General features: G+C 36.3%; 1 protein-coding gene across 57 annotated transcripts in view, besides 1 other annotated feature; it reads right to left on the bottom strand.

The window, feature by feature from the left end:
- The window catches only part of ADGRL3 (adhesion G protein-coupled receptor L3), an 878,010-nt gene that overhangs the window by 748,076 nt on the left and 102,224 nt on the right, over positions 1 to 27,710 (bottom strand). The gene's annotated exons all lie outside the window — the stretch shown is intronic.
- Positions 9,635 to 9,929: a silencer, noted in NCBI's record as "tiled region #909; HepG2 Repressive non-DNase unmatched - State 23:Low, and K562 Repressive non-DNase unmatched - State 24:Quies". NCBI's record gives its function as "represses a minimal TATA promoter and a strong SV40 promoter by Sharpr-MPRA in HepG2 and K562 cells {active_cell/tissue: HepG2 | K562}" and the evidence as "EXISTENCE:reporter gene assay evidence [ECO:0000049][PMID:27701403]".

Genomic DNA, 27,710 nt, shown 5'->3' with positions numbered 1-27,710 from the left:
CCTCCCAAACACACCTAGAAATAATGTTTAACCAGCTATCTGTGCATCCCATATCCCAGTCAAGTAAACACATCAAATTAACCATCAATCATATTCACCAAAGAATACGTCTGTCCTTGAAATTGGGAAATAAAAAAGAAAACTTCAATTAGTCTTAAATTGTGAAGTCATGTAGGAGTGGAGCAGGTATTTTCCAGCATATGCACAATGCAAAGATAACCAGGAATCTTATTAAAAAGACAACCAGGCAGATACCAAAGAGGAGCTAAGCCAAGAGAATGTGTCAAAGTGATTGCAATTTCCTTCTTGATTCCAGGCCCTCAAGGAGGCCCAATTTCATGGACTAACCTTAGGTTTTCTGAGGTGTGTTTGTACCCTACTGACACCCCTATTTGCTCATACAACTCAAATGATTCTTTTCTGACAATAATCTTTGAATAAGACAGTTATTCCACAGCATTGTTTATATTAAACACTCCATATGTCCACCATTAGAAAATCAGTTAAATATCTACATCCTATGCAATCATAAAAAGACAACACAAAACTGTATACTATATTTTTTTTCTTATAAAATGGTCATGACATACTGTTGAGTAAAAAACAGTTTACTGAACATCAATTCTGTATATGTGCACACCACAGAAAGATATCTGGAAAGATAGAGAACAATTTAACAAAATTTATTTTTGTGTAGCTGCCAAGTGATTTTATTCTTCTCTTTATATTTTAATTGAGCATCTATCATTTTTTATAAATTAAAAAATTAAATTTCTACATTTAAAAATAAACCTGAAGAGAAATTTTAAAAAAGAAATAAAGAAAAAGTTCAGTGCAACATCAAAGGACTGACTTTTGATTTCAGACAAAGGATGGTTTGATCTCTGCAGGAAGAATTACTTGATATCATTATCTGTTTTTTAGAGTAAGTACAAGAAATAATACAATACTGTTGAAGATTTCTTTTGAGCTTTTATTAACCATCTAAATATATCTTTTTTCAATTATAAATCTTGTTTTACTTTATAAAGTTATTTGAAACTGCATCAGTAAGACTCATAAGAGTAGAGGAGTATTTTTACTTAAATGGTAGGGTTATAGCTTTTAAATACGCATCCTTTCATCTAGCTGCTCAGAAGGAAGAGGGAGAAAATCAGTAAACACCAGTCCTTCATGTCTGCTCAATTTAGCTCTTTTTGTTGAGCAACTAATTCCTTATGGCACACATCCAAAGCATGCAAATTTCAGGCCACTTGACAGTCCTTTCAACCAGGTCAGTCCTAACAGAGATAGTAATCAAGTCTCCCATGATGAATTTCATTCACATAGTGGAACTGATTACAGAGCAGGACGAATCACTGCACACTATTGAATGGAGATCAATTTTCAGCTTGAGGGATTATGGAGAACAGTGCACAACAAGGCAGGAGCAGGAGTAGGAGAATTCAATAAACAAACGAAACCAAATGAGACCATCTTAGTATAAAAAGAGGCCAATTGTATCATCTAACATCCCTAATATATTATTCTAGAAAAATACTCTACTTTGAAAATTAAATAACTTGAAATATGCAAATATAGTTTTATCTGAAGCTTCTTTGTCCCCATTTGACATAGCTCAAATTAATCGTTAATAAAATATAAAATGAACAAATAAATAAATGCATATGTTTAAAAATCTATACTTGCAGCTATTTTCTCTTGTAATAGATAGGAGTTTCTTTGTCAGATTCTTTTATATGCTATAAAAACATCCCCTATAAAAATGCCTTAAGTCATAGCTGTGTTTCTGCCTTTTCCTTTCATTGCAAGGAGGATATCCTTTAACATATAATGAGATCACTGGCATATGCCTTACAAGTTTTGCCTATGCATATAACCAATCACTGGGAAAGCATCACTAGTTCCTACTATCTCCGAAATAAATGTCAAAATGTTTCTGTGCTCTGTATCATCCAGAACCCTAAAAGCTTTCTATGCTACCCCGGCCTATTCACTCAATAGATTAGGATTTAAAATTGAAGTTAACTCACTCAAGCTCTACATTGGGGTCTCCACAGATTTAATTTACTAGGCACAGTCACAGTGTATGCCTGTTATCCTGGAGTCATTGCCTCATTTTCACTGTTAGAAGCAACCCAGTTTGGAATACATATTAAAAGCTCTTCCTACTACTAAATGTATGCAAATTTTGCCAATCCAAAGCAATCAAGTCAGAAAAAAAAATCCTCCTCTAACTCATGCTCCATTGCACACTACCATTTTACTGAATGCCTTCTCACTGCCAATTCCTTGAAATAATTTTTGACAGTCTTAATAGCAATTTCCATTTCTTCATTTTCCATTCATGCCTCAATATTTCATAATCCAAGTCCTATTTCTTTAAAACTACTGAACATCATCATGGATTAATAATTAAATGGCCATTTCTCCATTTATATGTCTATAATACTATGGAACATTAAATATTTGATCACCTCATCTTAAAATTGTTTCTTCCTTGTCTATCATTTCTACAATCTCTTCCCAACTCTTCAAATTCTCTTTGTCAATCTCTTTATTTGTATTATTTCTCCATTCATTTCACCTCTTATTCTACCTGCTTTTCCTTAGTGATCTACTCCAATCCTAGAATTTCAACTGCCACCTGTATGCTCATGACTCCAAAATCAGTCCTTTGAATTGACTGTTTCCCCATCACAAACTTTAAATTTTAATCTGATTAGACGATACTTTATGGCATCTAGAAGAACTTTGAACTCAACAAGTCTAAACTAGTTTTCATCGTTCTTAAATGTGTAATCTCTCTCCAATTCCTAGCACTTCATTTTTCCATTTTAGACAGTTCTAAAATGGAAAAAGAAAACAGGTAGGAGCATACTTTACAGGAAATCTCTATGTACCCTAGCCAGCAAAATTAAAAAAAAAAAAACTGAGTAAAACTCAATGTGTAGCTTATACTAGATAGAATACTTTTGAAGCTCTGGATGTACATAAATTAAAAATAAGGACAATAGGGAAAAAGAGGGAAGCTCTAAGAATACATTTAACATACAGCATTATATTAGCAAGCCCGTCGGGTGCTCTCACTTTGCACCTTAGTGGCTTCTTTTAAGAATCATAGCAAGGAGTAAAACGAACTCAAAGTGAAGCAAAGTATCTCTGCCTTGTGTGAAGTGAAATATATAGTTTGGTTGACTGAACACCACTATTTCCAATATTAAAAGGTGGAGTGTTTGTATAACACTATACAAGCACCTAGGTTTGGTGCTTGTATAACAATTCACATAACCCTATATCAAATAAATATTTTTTAAACTGTCTAAATATATATTTATATTGTGGACCATAATAACTCTTAGCATCAATGATAGCCAAGAAACTACTCAAGCATTAGGGGGTACATTTTTAGCACAGCATGAGCAGATTTAGCTGAGAGATTCCCATTAATGTCAATAAGAGATGCATAGTTCAATTTTAACACATACTGTGTTGAAAATTTACCCCAAAGCTTTTGAGCAATAGCTCCCCAAAAGAAGGGAAATTTTAAATTTTCCAACAAAAATTTAGGTTTTTCAGGATAATTACCCATTCACCATTCTTAAATTTTTGTGTTTTTCTAATTACACACACACACACACACACACACACACACACACATTATCTGGCATAACTGGCTAGCTGGAGACCAATAATACTGCAAAAAAAAAATCACAATATTAAATTCTCCTAAATAAAATATAATAAAAATTCATGGATTTTTTCACACTAAACGACAAATTGTAGCTACTATTAGGGGTAATACTAGTTTGTTACCTCAAATTTGATTTACATAAGTTATAATGGTTAAAAGAAAAACTTAAGAACAGTTACGATTATAAACTTTTTTATATTGAAAGATCTAATAAAACGTAGAAAATGGTCAGGAATCTCCTTCTGTGTCTCCTGAAAATTTGAAAGGATGTGAATATATGTCTAGATATTTAGGTCCTAGAGGAAAAAAACCGGCTAATTCATCTTCTTATACCCAGCACCTAGTAAATAGTAACTACTCAAGAAATGCTTATTGAAAGCATGTATACATTTAAGCATGTATGCATTAACAGCATACATATATGCACTGAACATCTCACTCAAGGGAATGAGTAACATAAAATCCAAGAGGTCAGATTTTATTTGAGTTAAAATCATAGGTGTTGGAATCAAACACACCTGGGTTCTCATCTTAGCTGAGGACCCTTATTCCTCACCTGTGCAATCATGGGCAAATAACTCTCTAGGTTCCAGTTTCTCTGTTGCCATATTTCTTAATACGCTATCTGGAAGTTAGACTTTTGAATGTAATGAGTTCTAATATTCTCAGAGGGACACAATTCTCTTCAATATGTTAGTAATCATGACTTTTATTCACTTAATGACTCTCTTCTCTATTTCCACAGTAAGTTACTTAATACCTTTAGTTCAAATGACAATAATTTGATTACTTTATTAAACATATTTTTACTCTACTAATTTATTTTATATCTTCTGTAACAAAAGAATAGTATCATAAAATTAGCAGGAAAGATAACAAAGACTTATCATGTTAGAAAAAAATAAAATAAAGCTAGACTATAGGATGCACAGGGGCAGAACTTTTTCTCTTCTGTTACCCTGTCCCTCAACACCTAGAATTATAGGACATGCTCAGTAAGTATTTGCTAAATGAAAAAGAGAAAATAAGCCTGTTAAACAAATGAGAATTCACACTCAACCTTCAAAGTTTTCTACTGAGCTACTGAGAAAGTTCTTTCCACTTGCTGATATTTTGAAAGTACTACTGCATTAATATATGAGCATTTGTTAGTGTCAAATACTGCTCTACAACATAAATAAAAATATCAATAAATGTATGTTATAAATTGTCTACATGCTATTTTTTGTTCATTTGTTTTTGTTTTTGTTTTTTTGAAATTGAGTCTCTCACTGTCGCCAGGCTGGAGGACAGTGGAGTGATCTCAGCTCACTGCAACTTCCGACTCCCTGGTTCAAGCGATTCTCCTGCCTCAGCCTCCTGAGTAGCTGGGATTACAAGCACATGCCACCACGCCCAGCTAATTTTTGTATTTTTAGTAGAGACGGGGTTTCACCATGTGGGCCAGGATGGTCTCGATCTCCTGACCTCGTGATTCACCCACTTCAGCTTCCCAAAGTGCTAGGATTATAGGCATGAGCCACTGCGCCCGACCTACATGCTATTTTTAAGCAATGCACTTAGTAAAGTAATCTGTAAAGTCAGAATTCCAAATGGTAATAAGAATAGTATTTGGTGCTTTAATAATTTAAAATTCTATTTAATATAATAAGTTAATGAATTACACTATGCAAATGATTAGTGAAAATTTAGTTTCTTTCCATGCCAATGTAAGTACTATATTCACAATATTTGTCACAAACAGGAATAGTAAGAGCCAAGACAAAAATGCCAAAAAGTTTAGTATATGGTTATTGGTGTTAAAAATCTTAAATCTAAAAATTGCATAAAAAGTGTTCAGTAAAAATTTTCAAAATCAATGTAAGATATAACATTTTGTTGCTTCCTATTTGCTTGTTGAGCAGAAGGGTCCTAATAAGTGCAATATTGGGCAGATTACTCTTCATTTTCAACAATAAAAATTATAAAAACAAGTCTATGTATGAAGTCAATTTTATAATCTAAAGATTTTGCTTTTGATTTTCTAATCTGAAAATATTACATTTAATCATAGGGCTATTTATTCTTAGAAATAATCAAATCTACCTTACTACATCTTCTCAAACTTGTGTCTCTTCCTTAAAATCAGGAGAAAAGCAGGAAAAATCAGGCTCTCATTCAAACATTCTTTTTTTTTAACATGCTTATTAATCTTTTTGGTAATGCATTATTTATTTCCACTTCCAGGTATACGTTTCTCAAATATAAAATGTATTTGATTTAGTAGGTACATATGTGTATACAGAAAATGTCACTGTGTCTGTAGACTGCAAGATAAAACAGAAAAAGTGGGTGATACGGTTTGGCTCTGTGTCCCCACCCAAATTTCATCTTGTAGCTCCCATTATTCCCAAGTGTTGTGAGAGGAACCCAGTGGGAGATGACCGAATCATGGGGGCAGTGTTCTTGTTATAGTAAATGGGTCTCACGAGATCTGATGGTTTTAAAAACTGGAGTTTCTCTGCACAATCTCTCTCTTTGCCTGCTGCCATCCATGTAAGATGTGACCTCCTCCTCCTTACCTTCCACCATGATTATGAGGCCTCCTCAGCCACATGAAACTGTAAGTCCAATAAACCTCTTCCTTTTGTAAATTGCCCAGTCTTGAGTATGTCTTATCAGCAGTGTGAAAACAGACTATACAGTAAATTGGTACCAGGAGTGGGGCATTGCTGAAAAGATACCTGAAAATATGGAAGCAACTTTGGAACTAGGTAACAGGCAGAGACTGGAACAGTTTGGAAGGCTCAGAAGAAAGCAGGAAAATGTAGGAAAGTTTGGAACCACCTAGTGACTTGTTGAATGGCTTTGACAAAAATGCTGATAGTGATATAAGCAATAAGGTCCAGGCTGAGGTGGTCTCAGATGGAGATGAGGAACTTGGGAACTGGAGCAAAAGTGACTCTTGTTATGTTTTAGCAAAGAAACTGGCAGCATTTTGCCCCTGCCCTAGAGATTTGTGGAACTTTGAACTTAGATGATTTAGGGTGTCTGGTGGAAGAAATTTCTAAGCAGCAAAGCATTCAAGAGGTGACTTGGGTGCTGTTGAAGGCATTCAGTTTCAAAGGGGAAAGAGAGCATAAAAGTTTGGAAAATTTGCAGCCTGACAATGCAATAGAAAAAAAAATCCATATTTTGAGGAGAAATTCAAACCAGCTGCAGAAATTTGCATAAGTTAACGAGGAGCCGAATGTTAATCACCAAGACAATGAGGAAAATGTCTGCAGGGCACACCAGAGACCTTTGCAGCAGCCCCTCCCATCACAGGCCTGAAGGCATAGGTAGAAAAAGTGGTTTCCTGGGCCAGGCCCAGGTTCCTGGTGCTGTGTGCAGCCTAGGGACTTGATGCCCTGCTTCCCAGACACTGACTAAAAGGGTCCAATGTAGAGCTTAGGCTGTGGCTGCAGAGGGTGCAAGACTCAAGCCTTGGCAGCTTCCATGTGGTGTTAAGCCTATGACTGTACAGCAATCAAGAATTAAGGTTTGGGAAGCTCTACGTAGATTTCACAGGATTTATGGAAACACCTGGATGCCCAGGCAGAAGTTTGCTGTAGGGGCAGGGTCCTCATGTAGAACCTCTGCTAGGGCATTGCAGAAGGGAAGTGTTGGGTGGGAGGCCCCACACAGAGTCCCTACTGGGGCACCACCTAGTGGAGCTGTGAGAAGAGGACCACCATCCTCCAGACTCCAGAATGGTAGATACACTGACAGCTTGCACCGTGTGCCTGGAAAAGCTGCACTCAATGCCAGCTTGTGAAGGCAGCTGGGAGGGAGGCTGTACCCTGAAAAGCCACAGGGGTGGAGCTGCCCCAGACCATGAGAACACATCTCTTCCATCAGCGTGACCTGAATGTAAGACATGGAGTCAAAGGAGATCATTTTGTAGCTCTAACATTTGACTGTCCTGCCGGATTTTCACATGGGGCCTGTAGCCCCTTTGTTTTGGTGAATTTCTCCATTTGGAATGGGTGTATTTATCCAATGCCTGTATTCCCATTGCATCTAGGAAGTAACTAGCTTGCTTTTGATTTTACAGGCTCATATGCAGAAGGGTTTTGCCTTGTCTCAGATGAGACTTTGGACTGTGGACTTTTGAGTCACTGCTAAAATTAGTTGAGACTTTAGGTGACTCTTGGAAAGGCATGATTGGTTTTGAAATGTGAAGATGTAAGATTTTGGAGGGACTGGGGTGGAACGATATGGTTTGGCTCTGTGTCCCCACACAAATCTCATCTTGTATCTCCCATGATTCCCACATATTGTGGCAGGGACCCGTTGGGAGATGACTGAATCATGGAGGTGGGTCTTTCCTGTGCTTTTCTCACAATAGTGAACGGGTCTCACAAGATCTGATGGTTTTAAAAATGGAGTTTCTCTGCACAAGCTCTCTCTTTGCCTGCTGTTATCCATGTAAGATGTGACCTACTCCTCCTTGCCTTCTGCCACAATTGTGAGGCCTCCCCAGCCATGTGGAACTGTAAGTCCAATAAACCTTTTTCTTTTGTAAATTGCCCAGTCTCAGGTATGTCTTTATCAGCAGTGTGAAAATGGACTAATACAGTGGGTTTTCCTGGGTTGCAGAAAATTTTTTTAAAAAACTATGTAACAACCTGATGACTATTTAATCTACCTCCTTCCTCCTAACCAATTTATATTATTTTTATTTCTCTGAAACAACCACAATTGAAATCTGTGATTAAAATACAGTCAATGCACCATATAACAACATTTCACTCAACAACAGACCACATGCATGACATTGGGTCCCATAAGATTATAATATCATATTTTTACTGTACCTTTTCTACGTTTAGACATGTTTAGATACACAAATACTTAACATTGTGTTACAATTATCTTCAGTATTCAGTAGTGTACAGATTTGTAGTCTAGGAGCAACAGGCTACACCATATAGCCTCAGTGTCTATCTAGTAGGCTACACCATCTATCTTTGTGTATGTACACTCCATGTTTCCACAATGATGAAATCGCTTCAGGACCCGTGCCTCAGAATATATCCCCAACCCTATAATTAAGCAACATATGACTGTTATAAAAAATAAGTTAATGATTTCCTGATACATGCTTTTCTAGGTAATTCAACTTATTGAATCCTCTTAAGAATAGTTAGTTCAACTTACAGATGAGAAAAATGGGGCAAAACAATTCAAAGTCCTTGCCAGATGTGCAGACATAGTAAGAGGAAACGCTGGGACTACCAACTTAGGTGATCTGACTCCAAGATCTCACCTCAACAATGAACATACATTTCTTTGTCCATGAAGATCAGCCAGTGTGGTAGGCAGTAGAATGGCCCACCAAAGATGCCCATGCCCTAAAGCTCAGAGCTTATTATGTTACATGGCAAAAAGGAATTAAAGTTGCAAATGAAATGAAGATTGCTAATTTGCTAACCTTTGGATGGAAAGATTATCTAGGATTATCTACATGGGTTCAATGTAATCACCCTTATAAATGAAAGAAGGTGATAGAACAGAGAGCTCGAGAGAAGGCAGTATGAGACAGACCTGGCTTTGAAAATAAAGGAAGGAAGCCATGAGCCAAAGAATAAAGGCAGACTCTAGCAGCTGAAAAAGCAAGGAAATGGGATATTTCTCCTAGGATCTCCAGAAAAAAACTCTGCCCTGAAAACATCTTGGTTTTAAGCCAGTGAGAACTATTTCAGGCATCTGACCACCAGAAGAGCAAAACAATAAATTTGTGTTGTTTTAGGCCACTATGTTTGTAGTAATTTGTTACAGCAGTGTGATAGTTAATTTTAAGAGTCAACTTGGCTAGACTTGCATTTGGCAAATCACTACTGTAGATGTTGCTGTAAAGGTATTTTTTAGATGTTATAACATTTACAGTCAGTTGACCTTAAGTAAAGGGGATTAGACTTCATAATATGGGCAGGCCTTAAGAGCAGAGATGGAGGTTTCCTAAGGGAGAAGAAATTCTGCCTCCAAGCTGCAACATGGAAAGGCTTGAGTTTACCAGCCTTCAAATTCAAGACTGCAAACAACAACTCTTACCTGAATCTCCAGCCTATAGGCTTGCCCTACAGATTTTGCACTTGGGAGCTCCACAATTATGTGAGCCAGTTCCTTAAAATAAATCTCTGTCTTTCTTTCTCTCCTGTTAGTTCTGTTTATCTAAAGAACTCTGACTAACACAAGTAGGAATGACACACTGATACAATTAGTAATTTAATACTGGTTTGAGTTGTTAACAAGGATCCTTAGGTATATTTGCATATAAGAAGGTACATTAGTCGGCCTGGACTTCCAGTAACAACATACACAGATTAGGTAGCTTAAACAACAGAAATTTATTTCTCACAGTTCTAGAGGCTAGGAAGTCCAAGATCAAGGTGCCAGCCAATTCATTTCCAGAAGAGGGGTATCTTTCCAGCTTGCAGATGACCACCTTTTCACTGTGCCCTCATATGGAGGAGAAAGAGAGCTCTGGTGTCTCCTCCTCTTCTTATAAGAGCATTAATTCTATTGATTAGGGCTTCATCCTTAGGACTTCATTTAACCATGATCACCTTCTCAGCTGTATTTCCAAATACAATCATATTAGGAGTTAGGACTTCAATATATGAACTGGGCTGCAGGGAGCACAATTCAGTACATACCAGAGGAGAAACAATTTTTCAAAGCTCATGCACATATTTTAATAGATTTTATATGTAAAATGTAAGAGAATTAGACAGAAGCACCTTACCTTACTCAGTTGCCAGAGATCTCTAGTTTACTACATTAAAATAGAATTAATTAATTTATATAGCACTTTGGAGTTTACAAAGTACTCTCAAACAGATTACAAACAACATCATTAATAATTATTCTCATTTGACGTACAATCAAATTTGAGCTCAATGAGATACATTAATTCTCAGTTTATTAGTCTGGCAAACAGTAAGTTGGGCCTTCGATCTAAGGCCATTGATTTTAAATAGGCTTTGCATATTCAGATCTGCTCATCAACTGCAACACATGAGGGAAAGGGGAGGGAATTCTAGACTAACACAACATGGTGAAGTCAATTTTCAGGAATTAACCAGACATTTCTATCCTTATCTTAGATCTAACTATAAACATATAAATGTTCTCAGGATCTTAATATAATAAAAGATAACCAAAGCTTTCAGTATCTTGGGCATATGGGGCAGAAAGTAATGCTGATGTGAAGATATTTTTCAAATTACTTAGTGATTTATTTGAAGTGGTTGTAGGGAGGACTGAAATTTTCTTTCTCCAGAATGAGACTAAAAGTTGTCATGTATTTTCATTGAGTGGTGTTTTTCTGGTTTCTGGAAATGCTACATCTCTAACAAATTTTTACACTTTTCACCAAAAAATGACCCCAGGGAGATGTTATAAGGCACTATTTCAGTGTACACATTGGACTTCCAGTAACAACATACAGGCAGCCTATTCCTTAATGACACCATTCACCAGTTGTCATCTTGAACAAGCCAATTAGTATCTTTAAGTTTCCATTTTCTTTTCACTAACTTGGGCATAAAAATATGGGACTGCTGCAAGGAGTAACTAGAGAATGAATTTATAGAACTTGCCAAATATCTGACAACTCATAATTGCTAAATAAATGTGAGAGGTAATGAGTATTGACTGTCAATATAAAAAATTACATTATGTAAAATATTTTAAATTCTCTGGAATATTAAATTTGCTAAGGAAAAATCATAGAAAATTGAACTGAAGTTTTCATTTTTGCAATCATATAGTTTATAACTGGGCAAAAGTGTGGTGTGCACTATAATCAGAGTTGTAGTGTACTAGGGTGGTGCAGAGCCATTACCCTGATGAAGGTCTCTAATGGCATTTACCAAAGATTAAATTCATAATGCTTTTGTCATGTTGTAGCCTAGCCTGGGTTAAGGCTCTAGCACAGAGTGATAAGACTTCAGCAGACAGCGTGTTCAGTTAATTCTTCTAAAAAGGGGTGATGACTCAAATCAGGGAAATTATAATGATATTACACTACTTCATGGTTCACAAACTTTTCTAAGCATTACCTCACTTGATCCTTAAAACAATCTTGAGATAAAGGCAAGGCAGATATTATAGCCCTTTTGTGATGAGGGTACTGAAGCTCTGAGAAGGTAAAATGTTGGCCCATCAGCAAATCCAGAGCTAAAATTCATATCTTGAGTCTTCTTGTCCAGTGCTGTTTATGAGTCTTCCTCCAAAGTTGTTGAAGCAGACTATTTCCAGAATCATTCATTTATAATATTATCCTATATATTTTCTTTTGTGTGTGTGTGTGTGTGTGTTTTGTGTTTTTTTTTTTTTTTTTTTTTGAGACAGGTTCTCACTCTATCACCCAGGCTAGAGTGCAGTGGTGCAATCTTGGCTCACTGCAACCTTTGGCTCACTGCAACCTACGCCCCCCAGGTTCAAGTGATTCTCCCACCTCAGGCTCCCAAGCAGCTGGGACTACAGACATGTGCCACCACGCCCAGCTAATTTCTTGTGTTTTTAATAGAGATGGGGTTTCACCATGTTGGCCAGTCTGGTTTTGAACTCCTGACCTCAAGTGATCCATCTACCTTGGCCTCCCAAAATGCTGGGATTACAGGCGTGAGCCACCATGCCTGTCCCTATATATTTTCTTTTTATAATGCATAGACATAATAGTTGTCTTGTAAGTTTTTGTACTGGGTTGGAGAAGAGTAAAATAATTTTAAGAAGGTATTTTACTATTAATATTGTTGGTGTGGCAGATTGGAAGTATGATATATAGACTCTGGTTACTCTACGTAGGATAGAAGCTACAATCTTCAGCCTCTGTCTTTCCTTCCCCAATCAAAAAGTGTAACGAGGAACAAGCTACCTTGCTGTCCACTAATCTTCATTCACATTTCACAACTCATTCTCCTCTGTCCTTCAAAAAAGTACCAAACCTAATACACAAAGAAAAACCTACTATTATAGGCCTTACACAAGAAGGAGAAAGAAATGAGTTAGCAGCTTTTGATGTAGAAAATTCCATTTCCAGCTCTCCTGTAAAACCCTTAAGGATCTTGGCAGTACATAATGAATGTACTCTAACCACTCTTTGAAATACATGTGAAAAGTGTTTGTAAAGATCCTATTGATCTTTGGGTCAAACATGCCTTACAATCTACTAGGGTACTTTCATATGGTTCCACAAAAAATCTGCTGTAGATTTTTAAAAAGTTAAAATAATTACTTCTTCTTTAGCAGTACAAATAGCTAAGATATTGGTCTGCCAGATACACTCCCAGATTTAGTTCTAAGAAATGTATTAATGTACTTGAAGAACAGGTAATCCAGGCCTCAAGGTTTTTAAAAGAATAATCACACAAAAGTGACCAAAGTTTCCAGACATGTAAAGGAACTTAGAAATCAACAGTGCTTTTATTTCCATAAGTTTCAAGGTTTACTCCTCTCTTATACCTTTCTAGATAATGAAAGAAATACTTGCAAAGGTAAGTATTGGTGGAAGCTTAAAAGGTTCAAAGCTTTAAGGAAAAGGCTTAAAAGAAATCAATTTCTATGTTCAATTTCTGTATTATCAGGAAGAAAAGTAGCCTAAAATTCCTTATTTCCTTTTTACATAGTTTCCAGACATGTCACAAAAAAAATAATAAAGAGAAGGCATAGACACTTATGTAATTATGTATCAGCCACTTAACATGTTGTTAGCAAAATATGTACTAAAATATTTTAAATGATCTCAAAGTAAACAGTCATACAAACATGAAAATGGCATAGAACTTAATAGAATCATTTTCTGAATAGCCAGTTCTTTTTACAGTTGACAGCTACAATCTGAGCAACTTATCATTATCTATCACCTGGAAAACTGCAGCAGGCTTCTAACTGACCTCCTGCCTTCTAGTCTTACTCCCACCGCACCAGCAGTCCATTACCCATGCATACAGCAACCAGATGATCTTTTTACGGTGTAAACAAGATACGTCATTCTTCCTTCTTACAATTCACCAGAAGAATTCACAAGAAAGTATTAGGTTGGTGTCAAAGTAAATGCGGTTTTTGCAATTACTTTTAATGGCAAAAACCATGACTACTTTTGACCAACCTAATTTTAAAAAATCCAAATTTCTTGCTCTGACGTCTTAGGATGCCACCTAATTTAGACCCTGCCTGTCTTCCTAATTTTTGTCTTTTACCCTACTTGGCCTACCATACTAAATGCCAGCCACACTGGTCTTTCCTACCCCTGAAATAAGCCCAATTTGTTTGTTTCAGGGCTCTTTCAAATGTTATTTTCACAGATCATCAAGAGCTTTCCTCTTTCATATCATTTGGGCCTTATTCCAAATCTAATTTTTTTAACAGAGCCTACCTGAGCCTCATTCCCAAATCATTCTCTGTACCTGTATTCTGTGCTATTTTAATTATATTCAACACTATCTGGAATTATTTTACTTAATAAGTTATTTATACTTTTTTTCATAATCTGTCTCCCCCAAATGGAATTAAGCTTCATGAGAACATGGAACAAATTTGTTTATTGTTATATCCCTAGTGCCTCAGTCTTGGGACATAGTAGGTGCTCAATAAATATCCAATGTATGAAAGAGAACGTATGATACTTCTGAACTGTATTTTTACATGATAAATATGTGGAAAATGGAAAGGAGAAGGCAAACTTAGTCTACAAGTTCATTTGGCATTTAACTTGTTGCCAAGAAGTAGCATTATCTTGAGGATCCTTTATCATCTAAGACCAAAACAGCAGGTCTGAAAATGATTTTATGGCGGTTTAAAAAACAGCTGCCAAGAGCCCTAAACAGCCCATTCAAGTATGGCTACTTTTATGTCTCTACACTCCTTTCTTTCATGGTTTCCAGGAGTTGGAGGTAAATTGAAAGATGCTATTACATTTATATCTCCAGGCCTCAAAATCAAGCCCAGCCTGATTGCCTTTCCAGCCCCTCCTTCTCCACCAGGATCACGTGAGCTATACTTTTTAACATTGCTACTAACAGGCTTAGTTCCTGACCTCATAGAAGGAACTTTGTATACAGAGCCCTTGCCTAACATCCTGAGCCTCACCACCATGAATGGTATTTATGGCTAGTCTAGGTTAGACACTGAAAGTTCCACTCTGTTCCTATAAGCAGTTCGACAGGACCTATACAGCACAATCAATCCTGTGTCCTGGAAATGGGGCAGAAAAGCAAATACTTACCATCCATGGGGTGAAATATTAGATCACAAGTAAGTAAGGGGACCTATGGACAGGGCAGCTGCAAATTCAGAACTTGCACAAGAACTTCCCCACGTTGAGAAGCCTGTCTAGACTCAACCATATCAACCATAGGGAGTGTTCATTTTGCTTTGAAGACTCTTCCCTCTCCACACCCTTCCTTACTGTGATTACAAATTTCACTATCTCTTATTCTTCAAATCTCAGCTTACATGTCCCTTCCTTAGGTAGCCTTCTTTCATAACCCAGGTTAGATCAAGATCCCATGTACAGATTCAACCATAAAAATGAATTGCCATTTCCAATTATAGCAGTTATCCGGTAAGTATCCATTGAATGAATTAATGAATGATACAGATAATCAGATAATAGATTCAATTTCCAACCAACCATTAAAAATAGCTAATAAACATAATTTCTTAACCACAAGACTATTGACACTTGGGAGTGGATATTTCTTTGTTGTGGGAGGCAGTCCTATGCATTATAGAACGTTAAGCAGCCTTCCTGAACTGTACTCACTAGATTCCAGTATTACCACCTTCAGCCCAAGTTGTGACAACCCAACAGTATCTCTAGGCATTGCCAAATGTCTCCAGAAGGGCAATAAACCTTGGGTTTGAGAATCACTGGGCCAGAAGTAAACTAATAGAATCAACTGCAACTGTGTTAGTAAAACTTTTCAACGAGCCAGCAAGATGATGAAGACTTTACCTCCCATGAGTGGCAGAGCTAAAGCATCCATAAGATCACTGCATGGGATCAGTGGTAAAAATCAAGGTAGGGGGCCCAGCGCAGTGGCTCACGCCTATAATCCCAGCACTTTGGGAGGCCGAGCGGGTGGATCATCTGAGGTCAGGAGTTCGAGACCAGCCTGAACAACGTGGAGAAACCCCATCTCTACTAAAAATACAGAATTAGCCGGGCATGGCGGCACATGCCTGTAATCCTAGATACTCAGGAGGTTGAGGCAGGAGAATTGCTTGAACCCAGGAGGCGGAGGTTATGGTAAGCCAAGATCGCACCATTGCACTCTAGCCTGGGCAACAAGAGCGAAACTCAATCTCAGAAAAAAAAAAAAAAAACTTCAAAGTAGGTATACTCAGATAAAACAAAGTCAGCTTGTGCTAGATGGGTTTATTAATAAAGAAAAAGACAAGTACAGCAGTCCCTTGAAAAATGTCATTTTGTTCAATGTTATTCCATTAAAATGTTGATGAGAAAAATAATCAGTTCCCGGCTGCCAGGAGCCACTCTCTGTGTGGAGCTTGCACATTCTCCCTGTGTTTCTGGATTTTCTCTGGGTACTCCACTTTCCTTCAACATCCCAAAGATGTGCACGTTAGGAGAGCTGGCATGTCTATAGGTTCCCAGTCTGAGTGAGTGTGGGCATCGTTGTGAGTGCTCCCTGCGATGGGATGGTGTCCTGGCCAAGGCTCGTTCCCGTCTGTGCTCTGACCTGTTAGGTTAGGCTCTGGTCACCTAAGACCCGGAACTAAAATCATTTTGTAAAAAACCACCGTACTTCTTTTTATTAATCTTTCTTAAATGTATGTATAGTTTACATTTATTTCAATGTTTAACATTAGAAGTATTTGGGGGTCTTAATTTAGAAGTTTGGTAATGCTCTTGTGACTAGAAATATGCTGTAGGAACTTAACTTTTATTTACATCACTTACTCTGTGGTAAAATTGGTTGTGTTATACATTGTTTTCGCTTAAGATCACAGTTTCCAAAATCCTATTGACAACATTAAGTGAGGACTTACTGTCCAGAGTTCCCATATAATACCTGGCCTTCTCCCCTGCATGGGCACACACAAAGTTCCCTCTATTAATATTTTTCATTCCTGTGGTACATTTTTTACTGCTGATGAGCCAATAGCAATACATTGTTAACTAAGGGCCATAGTTTAAATTAGGGCTCACTCTTTGTGTTGTACATCCTATGGGTTTTAACAAATGTATAGTGGCATGTATCAGCCATTGCAGTGCCATATAGAGTACTCTCACTGCCCTAAAAATCTCCTGTGCTCATCTTTCTTCATCTCCCCATGATCCTCTGGCAACCACTGATCTTTTCACTGTCTGTATAGCTTGCCTTTCCCAAAATGTCATATTGTAAAATCACACAGTATGGAATCAGACTGGGGTTTTTCACTAAGCAATGTAAGATTCACTTAATGCTTACATTTCAAGCATTTAGGATGTCCCCATGTCTTTTTTTGTGGTTTCATAGCTTATTTATTTTTATCTCTGAATAACACACCATTGTATGGATATACCACTGTCTGCTTATCCATACACTTATTGAAAGATATCTTGGTTGCCTCCAAGTTTTGGCAATTAAGAATGAGGCTGCTGCAAACATTAATGTGAAGGGTTTTGTTTGGACATATGGTTTCAGTTCATTTGGGTAAATATCAAGGAGCACAATTGCTGAATAGTATGGTAAGAGTATTGTAAGAAACTGTCAAACCATATTGCAAAGTGGCTGTACCATTTTGCGTTCTCACCAGCAATGAGTAACAGTTCCTGTTGCTCCATATCTTCACCAACATTTGCTGGTGTTGGTGTTTTGGATTTTAGTCATTCTAAAAGGTATGTTGTGGTATTTTGTTGTTTAACTTGCAATTCCATAATGTCATATAATGTTAAGTATGCTTATTTTTTATCTGTATATCTTCTGTGGTGAGTTGTAAATTCCAGTCTTTTGCCAATTTTTAAATTGGATTGTTTTCTTATTGGGTTTTAAGAAGTTTTTGTATGTTTCAAATATAAGCCTTTTATCAGATATGTGTTGTTCAAATATTTTTCTCCCAGATATGACTAGATTTTTCATTACTAGCTTTTAATTTTAATGAAATTATACTTATCAATTACTTTTCTTCCATGGATTGACTGTGATTGTGTGTATAAAAAGTCTTTGTCAAACTCAAGGTCACCTAGATTTTCTCATATGTTATTTTCTAGGATATGTATAGTTTTTCACTTTACATTTAGGTCTTGATCCACCTTTGAGTTAATTTTTGCAAAAGGTGTAAGGTATGTGTCTAGACTCATTTTTTATGTTTTTCATGTGGATATCTAGTTATTGCAGCACCAGCTGTTAAAAAAGACTATCCTCTCCCTATTAAATTGCCTTTGCACTTTTGTCAATGATCAGTTGACTATATTTGTGGGCCTATTTCTGGACTCTCTATTTTGTTCCATTTATTTTTTTAAAGGTTTTATTTTTTTCAGAGCAGTTTTAGCTTCACAGAAAACCTGAGTGGAAGGTACAGAGATCTCTCATATACCCTCTGCCCCATAGATGCATAGCCTCCCCCATTATTAACATCCCACATGAGAGTGGTACATTTGTTCAATTAATATACCTGCATTGACACATCCTTATCACCTGAAGCCCATGGTTTCTATCACAGTTTTCTCTTGGTTGTGTACAAATATATATGGGTCTGGACAAATGTATAATAATGTGAATCTACCACTGTAGTATCATCCAGAGTATTTTAATTACCCTAAGCATGGCTTTTTTGACAATAAGAATCTGACTATTCTTTCACCAATACCACAGTCTTGATTACTGTGCTTTTACAGTAATTTTTGAAGTCAGGTATTGTCAGTCCTCCTACTTCATTCTTCAGCTTCTCAATTTTAAATGATGTGTTATGAACACTAAGACACATAAGGTAGTTAGGTGTGAGTAACATTATTTGACAGTGCCACTGAGGGCAAAAGCATGGGTTGTATTATGTGAGTTCATAGGAGCACTAACTATGGCAGAGACAGTGTAGCCCGTTCATCACATTGTTTCTTCTTCCTGAATACACAGAAAAGATTACTCTTCCCAGATCCCTTGCAGTAAGGTTGCAAATGACATGACTGAGTTTTGGCTTATAAAATGTGAGCAGACCTGGCCTTCCAAATACAGCTCCCAGTATTTTGGGTCTCTAATACGTCCACAGCAACTGTAGAAGCCATATATTCCAGAAGGAATAACAACAAAATGGAAACAATCTTGGTCTACAGATCACCATTTGGAGAAGAGATACCCAAGAAAATGATCTGTCATGCACTGAATACAAGAAACCAAACTTTATGGTGTTAATACCTTATTTGTCACTGCAGCATAGTCTATACTATCTTGAATAATATACTAAAAATATTAGGATTTTGTTTGTGTTTTTGTCAGCATCACTCAGCAGTCAGGATGAGGAGCTCAGAAAACATTAGATTTTTTTTTTTCCTAGAGTTGAAATTTGGCACAAAGTAATATGTCCTTGCCTAAGATCTAGATATCCATTTTTTTCCCTATCAAAGCAATATAAGGCACCTAAGATATTAACTAATCATCTGAAACTACAACCTAGACTGGAATATATCCATTCCACTCTTTCTAACTTCTCTGTAACATTCATAATTTATTTAGAGGCATTAAATTTATAGGGTCCACAAGCACTCAGCCGGAGGTGATTCAATTATCTTCCCCTGAAGTGGGACAAGTAAAAAGCAGCAGATGAAAGGAAAGGGAACAAAGGAATTTAAAAAAAAAAAAAAACTGATCTTACAGGGTATGAAAAAGAGTTTCTTAGAAAGTAGTAACTGTAATGAGGGTGCTCATCATTTTCACATGGTATCTTTATTCCAAATAAAAGCTCAAAGGATTTTGGATTTGATCTTGCAATTTCAATACACATATGACTGCTTGAGAAAACTAATAATTCTTCCAAAATATTCTCTTTGAACGCACCAAAGCATAGGATATAATTGTGTGTCCCAATGGATTGATCACTTGACTACATCCTGGAATAACCCATGCCCTTGGCAAAACATGGAAAATCGGTATTGTTCTTCACAGACAGGAAACAGTCTGCCTTTAAACACTCATTATATAAAGTCAGGAAAGACAGTAAAACTATCAGTGCATCTGTCAGAAATCAATGCTTTGGGCAGAGTTTACCAAGAGCCTAAGCGCTCTATTCCTCCGTAAACATGGCTATTTAATAAATAAATAATCACTGAGTGGTTAATCAGAATGAAACCTGGCCCATTTTATATATTTTCATTTATTGGGTTTCAGCTAGGGGAAATAAAGTCCCTATTTTTATAAGAGCTTTCATATTCTGCACATGATCTCAGAAAGTGGGCATCAAGAGAGACTATCTGGAATGTCTTCTAGATCTTAACCTTCTCATGACTTTTTGAAATTCAACAAGCAGAAGACCCTTTAATAGTATATTGCATTTATATCTAATGTTTAAAGGTTAAACAGTGCATATACATTCAGCACACAGTTGTACTATGTGCCAAGTGCCAAAAAATAATAACTTAGACCTCAAAATGAGTGAGTGAGTTCCTTATACATGTAAAGTTGCTTGCAAAGGAGAAAAATAGATAAATTAGCATAGTTTCTTCTTTCCTCAATATCTTTGGCAGCAAAGAACAAAACCCCCCACTGGTAAAAAGCTGTTCCATCTGCCATCCTATTGCAAGAACAGCTCGCTTTCTTGGAAAGATGATTTATGGAACAACTAAATCCTATCTTTCACTTTTTTGGGTGGAAGGCAGTGGTAGTGAGATTTTTGTGGAGAATGTCCATCTACTGTAAGTCCATTGGTGAACACATCTAAAAATTAAGACTCTAAACCAATGACTCATCAGCAATCTATCTTCTCTTTCCTTCCAACCTCTTTAAAGCATGACATTCTGGCTCTTAAGTGAAAAGCTTACTATACTATAGATAATTTATTAGGAAAGTTGTATACATAAGAAATAGATTTTTTAGTATGATAGATGATTATTGCTACACAGCAACAGAAAAATATTATGGTGGACGTAATTGTCTTGGTAGTTTTCACACATATGCAATGAGTAAATAAGGTGCTTGTAACATACTCCAGGGGTTACTAAGCTGCATTTTAATTTGTAGAGGCTTGATAGAGGGAGTGAAAAAGGTGTTTAAATGACTTGACCCAAATCCCCATTGTATAACAGGGGGAGAACCAAATTAGGGTACCAGATGTCCTGACCTCGGATATTGAACCACATAGTAGACAAAGCCATCTTTTAATTTACTGAATTCAAATAGGTTTACAAAAAGTAATGAACAGATGTGACTTCCCTTCTTTCTTAACATTTTCTGCCCTCTAGAAAATTAAGTCGAAATTAGTAACATTTAAAACTTTATATTTTCATGACTCAAAGTAAATTTTGATCTCTTGAAACTTACCTTAAAATCATATAATGCGAAGGTAATTCTTTTGTCTACAAGTGCAGCAAAAATATAATTGAAGAACTTGCCAAACATATATATTACCTTATTGTAAAGAAAGAAAAAATGAAATGAAGTGGCCAAATAGTATCATATATTCTGTGGTACTAATTTTTAAAATAAGACAGTAAACTGTAAAACCCTATCACTAGTTCAGTCAAGCTGATTGTGCACTTTCTTCTTTCTTTAACTTCATGACCTTCAAAATTTCAAACTAATGATGAGAAGGTTTCAAAGACCTGTTTAAGACAAGGTATATCTCCAGGACTATCATTCCATCCCATTTTACATATGCATTTTAATTTTTCTACTTTATGACTCCATTAATCTCTCATTTTCAACAGCCTCCATTTTTAATTAAACTACAAGCTTTGCAGACTTTATTTTTATTACTGACTGATGCCTTTACTAATGGTTTTTATTTTATTGTGAATTTCAGATGCAGTTACGGTGCCAGACTGAGTTAACACACTAGCAGCAGACTCAAATGAACAAATAGGTTAGGCATAGTAAGTGTGCCCTAAGGAAGTCTTAAAAACACCTAAAGTATGCACACACAAACACTTTCCTGTCACTCAAACTGAAACCTCAAGTGTATGACAAAAATGAGCAACAATTAATACAGGGAGGATACTTTTATCCCTTCCTCTCTTCTCACTGTCACCCTTCCAGGGAAGTGCTGGTGTACTTCCAGCAACCCTTCCATTCTCAGGAACAGTGTTAGGGTGGGAGACTTTTCCCTCCCTCCTCCTGGTGTTTGCTTCTCTCAAAGGAGTGGAAGAATTGCTAAGAAACTAGATTTCAGTAAGTCATACTCATTTTGGGTGGAACAGCTAACGCATGATCGTCACCCCTCCAGGGTGAGGCCCTTCTCTGGGTCCTTTCCCTTTCTCATAGGTCTGCATGCTCATAAGCAACTTTTTCTTCCCAAGTGGCCAGTAACTAGGACAAGTATTGCTCTTGTTTTCAGAGAGATCTTTATTCTCCAGCTTCTTCCTGGACAAATAAGCAGGCGAGACCATTTTAGGGGGATGTAGTTGGAAACGCTGCTTTGTGAGGCAACTAGCGTTTTTAAAATCAGTCTTAACAATCTAAAAATGACAACATGATCTTAATTTTCCAATTAGTTGAGAAATGACAGAGAGGGAGAATATGATTAATTCATACTATTCAGCCTCCAACCAACAGGACAAAAACTCAAATTGCTAATTATCCAATGACTGGATTACAGAATTCATCCTTCAGTACAATTTGCTATCTACCTTAAATGCACCTCACATTGGTTTTACTTTTTCATATTATATTACATTTATATGCAAAACATATCTTTTTCATCCATTTTGTTCTGATACTTTTTGAAACATCCATATTGTTTGCATACTTTCATACTTCATGTTCATTAGCTGATATTTGCAATTCACAAACGTATCTGTCACAGAGTGAATAACATATTAAAAATATTTTTATTTCAAAATAAAAATCAGTACTTTACAACAGTAAAATATAATTTAAAAAAGTAATTTTATGAAAACAAAGTCTTTAAAGTTAAAGGCCCCTGGTTTCAATTCAGCCTCATGATTCATTTGCTACGTGAATTTGGGCAAGGTACTTACTAACACTGACATTTATTTTGTGAAATCTGTGAAATAGTGATAAAAAATTACCTCACAAATTTGAACATAAGGTTAGACATAATATCTCAGAATTGTGTTAGTCAACTAAAATATAGTCAAATATTTTAGATATTGTCATAATCATGTAGTAATAACCATTTTTCATTATTATATTAATTTTCAAAATATCTTTCCAGTCTTATAGTAGTGAAAAAGTAATCGGGAAAACTGTGGTCTGATTTTTCATTTTCATTTTGGCTAAAAGCTGTTTAAGATTGGGCAAGTCACCTATTTATTATGCGCCTCAATTCCTGCATTTAGAACATGATGCATTGAAACTCACAGAAATTTTTACACACAGGGATTCAATAAAATTAAGTGGTGTGCACAAAAAACATCCAACAATTATTATTTTCCTTCTCTTCATCCCATCCAAAAGGATAGTACATTTTATTTTGCTTTATAGCAGGAGATTGCCAATGGTAGCTGTAGCCCTTGGGCTTCATTTGGTGTAAAGACACAATTTCTTTGCTCTATAATATAAAGTTCTAGAAAATGGTTGCACACGTGAAGGAATGATGAATTGACTGAAATAGGGCAACAGATAACTTTCTGGGGTGAGAGACATGTTCTAAATTTTGTTTGGGGTGGTGGTTGCATAGTTGTATAAAATTGTCAAAAATGATGAAAGAGAACACTTAAGAGGTGTGCATATTATTTTCTATTAATTGTGTCTCAGTTTTTTAAAGCACAGGCTAATCCTAGAGTTGGAGAAATGAAAGCTTTTCCAGAAAGACATTGCACATCTGCTCATCTATGAGCCAGGCATCATTAAATAAATATCGAAAAGCAAAAATTTGAATTAGTAGCCATGGTTTTAAAACTAGGAAAGTTCACATGGAAATTTACATGTTACTCAGTGTAATGCCTACATGGCCTCACAGAATTTCTACCCCATCTTAACTCTGCTTATCTTTAAGAAACAGGAAGCCCACAGTTAGAAGTTCTTGGCGGTGTGGGGTGACTCACGCCTGTAATCCCTGCACTTTGGGAGGCCAAGGTGGGTGGATCACAAGGTCAGGAGTTTGAGACCATCCTGGCTAACACGGTGAAACCCCGTCTCTACTAAAAATACAAAAAAATTAGCCGGGCGTGGTGGCGGGTACCTGTAGTCCCAGCTACCTGGGAGGCTGAGGCAGGAGAATGGCGTGAACCCAGGGGGCAGAGCTTCCAGTAAGCCAAGATCATGCCACTGCACTCCAGCCTGGGTGACAGAGCAAGACTCTGTCTCAAAAAAAATTAATTAATTAATTAATAAAAAATAAATAAATAAGTTCATCCTTGTGACCAAACCAGCTAAAACTGGTAGGATCCAAGAAGGCAGCTCACTTGAAGAATCTCTAACTTCATTATAATTGAATTTCCCTGCTAAATGACACCCCCACCAGTGCCATGACAATTGGCAATCATAACGACAATGACTGGAAGAAACCATAAACAAGGAAGGCAGCACTCTGGTTCTCCACACACCCTCAGAGAAGACATGAATATTCCTCCACTTGCTTACAATGCCCAACTCCTTCATTAAAGATGCCTTATATCTACGGTTTCCTGGCTTTCATGAGTGGAGAAGTGGATTTATGAGCCATGCTCCCACTTCTCCATTCCATGGCCACCAAATAAAGCCTTAACTGCTTGACGCTCAAGTTCAGTTTCACGTATTGGCTTCACAACACCAAACAGGGAAAGACCCTATCTTTTGGGGGACCGACTTTGTCAATAACATAGATACTCTACTTCTCTTAAAAAATCAGAAGTTCTAGGAAGAGTGAACCCAAATTTCCTCAAGGCTACAATCACTGAAGCTGAGTAAAAGCCAGTCCATTTAGAAAAGGTTTGCCCCAGACCCTCCAACTCCAGTGTTTCCTACAGCAACTACATCTACTTATATAAACAGAAGCCTCACTGATTTTACAACCCATTCCACAACACCATATGTACTACAGTTATTTTAGTACTTTAAACTTGAACTCCTTTTGGAAGAGGTACAAGATGCTACAAATTTTCTATAATGATATAATAATGTAGAAACTCTTAATACATGTGTGTTGCTACTGAGAAGCCTCAATCTAGACTGAAATTCATTCTTCCAAGGAAGATATTCACAATTTAAGTGTTGTGATAATAGTGTATCTTATTTATTATAGACTCAAAATAGTTAAAAAAAAAAAAGTCACTTGCAAAATCTGCTGTTCCAAAGAATTCAGTGCTTCAAATTATTCCTGCAAATGGTTTATGCAAGGCACCAGGCTTATGATTAATAACAAAACATGAGATGTTTGATTTTGAATAAAACAGTCTTCTCTTCCAATTTAATTAGTTATAAATATAAGCCAGGACTCTGCTTTCTTTATCTATATCTTGAGCAGTAGTCTCCAAAGACAACATATAGGAATATTCTAAGGCAGGTACCAGTGTTACACTGTCTAAATTGATTCACTTCTAGGACTATCAGAATCACTTTAGGTGATTCTCATCTTAAGATGGATAGAACCTTCCTATCAATGGTCCATGCTGCTCTGGGATTTTAGCAAGCATTCACTACATGAGTAACACTCATTTATGAGATCAAAATCAATGAGAAGACACCCAAGAAAAGTTTTACCAATCAAAACCCTTAGGAGCTTGTTAAAACAGACATGATCAGAACTACAAAAGCATTTTATCACAAGGAAACCACAAAAACACACAATACACACACACACATGAATTACATACTCACCCAATCAATTTCTCCTAAAATGAAAATGTGAAAGTTAAAACAAACACCAGAAAGGGAAAAAAACATGACAGGGATACTTTTGCTAGAAAACCTCCACACACAGTTAAAGGGTAAGAATGCATAAAGTACAAAACCTCAGGCATAAAGACTACCTTTTAAAAAAGAGCATCTCCTCACTGCCTGCTGCCATTCAGGAGCTTGTTTTTTAGTAGCATAACCTAAAGGTTGGTATGTAATCACTTTAGTCAATAATATAAACAAAGAGGCTGAAAGCCTCACAATCTTAAACACATAGAGAGAATTTCATCTACAATAGCAAGGTGTGTATTCCCTTGAGAATTGCACAACTACTGGATTAAAATCAAATGCATTTCACTACAAAATGAGAAACAAAGATTGAATCAATTACCTGAAGGGAAAACCAATCCACACAATGAAGTCTTTACCTCTATGAATCAGCAGAAAAGCAACATAGGTGGGCTACTGCACAAATATTCTACAATTATCAGCAGCTGCTACACAAGCAACACTGTATCTCTCATTTACCTGGAGTGCTATCACATCTGTGCACAGCAGTCACAGCTGCTACCCAAGTCAGAGAATAAACATGTTCACACCCTTGAAAAAACAAGGTATCTATTATCTCCTAATACTGAACAGGATGCCTTGTGAATAGGACAGAGATTCTGGGTTGTATTTAAATGTGTATCTTTAAATTGTGATTTGTGTAAGTTTTAATACAGCTTCATTTTTCTGTCAGATTTGTGTTTTGTGTAACCATTCAAAATTGGTGTGCATTCTTTGGTATTTATAAAATAGAATGAAGTAATCAAACTGTACTAGAGAGTCTGTAAAACCACTCATAAATTCACCACTAATGTTTGAGAACGCAGAAACATTTTAAAATCCTGAGAGGGAAAGCTGTACTAACTTTAAAAATCCCACTTTTCAGACACTTAATGATGCCACCTGAAATGTACAATGTATAAACATCTAACCACTTATTCTTTATTACAAAAGTGTAAGATTTCAAACAATTAAAAAAATGACAGTTTTAGTCACATAATGATATTTTCCAGAAACCGTTTCTGTCACAGCTAGTTTCAGGTAAAAACATTTTTAAAGGCCATTTAATATTACTTTTGTTAGTGAAGAAAAAAAAAAACCTGGCAAATCCAGAGTTATCTGTATCACCTTATTAAGTGTCAACAATTAGGTAATATTTTCCATGTGCAGGGCACCATTCTAAGCACTTCGCATGCACTAAGTCATCAATCTTTACAACCTATAAGGTTATTATTCCCAATTTACTGAAGAATAAACTGTGATACAGGAAGATGAAGTGATTTGCCCACTGAAAACCACACAGCTGGTAATGGCTAAAACTGGGCTTTCAAAGTAGGCATTGTATCTCCCAGTCTTTGAAAGTAAAACTACTTTGCAATTAGTTATCCAAACCACTCTTCCAAAAAGCAAATGTTTGGTGTGTTAATTCTATCAACAATGGTTCTAAATTTGGATAGTCACATGAGTTGATATTTCTACTCATTAATTCACTAACGTTTTGGAGGTGTCAATGATGTCTATATTATATTTAATAGTATACTGTCGTCTTTTGTGAATGGATTTCATTTTTTTGGAAAGTCCTAATATATTTGAAGCCAAGCCCGATGAGGTGAAGTGACAGAAAGAAATAGTCCATGTAGTTTTCAGCAAAGCAATGAAATTTATTTTCTTATCCATTCCTGATTATAAAGACAATACAACTGAAATGTTTCAAAAATGATTCATTAATATCTTCATCACTGGAATAAGTATATAGTTTTCCAGGATGACTACTTGTAAAATGTGCCTTATTTGCATTAATTACTCTAACTCGGGTACTTGGTTTTTAAAAATTACACTACTTTATAGTTATATCTCAATCTAAAATGAATAATGAGTTAGAATTTTGTTTTCTGGGTATTTTAAAATATTAATATGCATAATGAAAAATGTTAGCAATTTTGAACCTGAATAATCAAAATATCACAAAACTTTAGGAGTGAAGTTAAATCTTTAAAAACATCTATGAC

The sequence above is a fragment of the Homo sapiens genome, chromosome 4, assembly GCF_000001405.40.
Source record: "Homo sapiens chromosome 4, GRCh38.p14 Primary Assembly".
In the NCBI taxonomy this organism is placed as follows: Eukaryota; Metazoa; Chordata; class Mammalia; order Primates; family Hominidae; genus Homo; species Homo sapiens.
The sequence above is the reverse complement of the archived record's forward strand: the minus strand, read 5'-3'. Positions and strand labels throughout refer to the sequence as shown.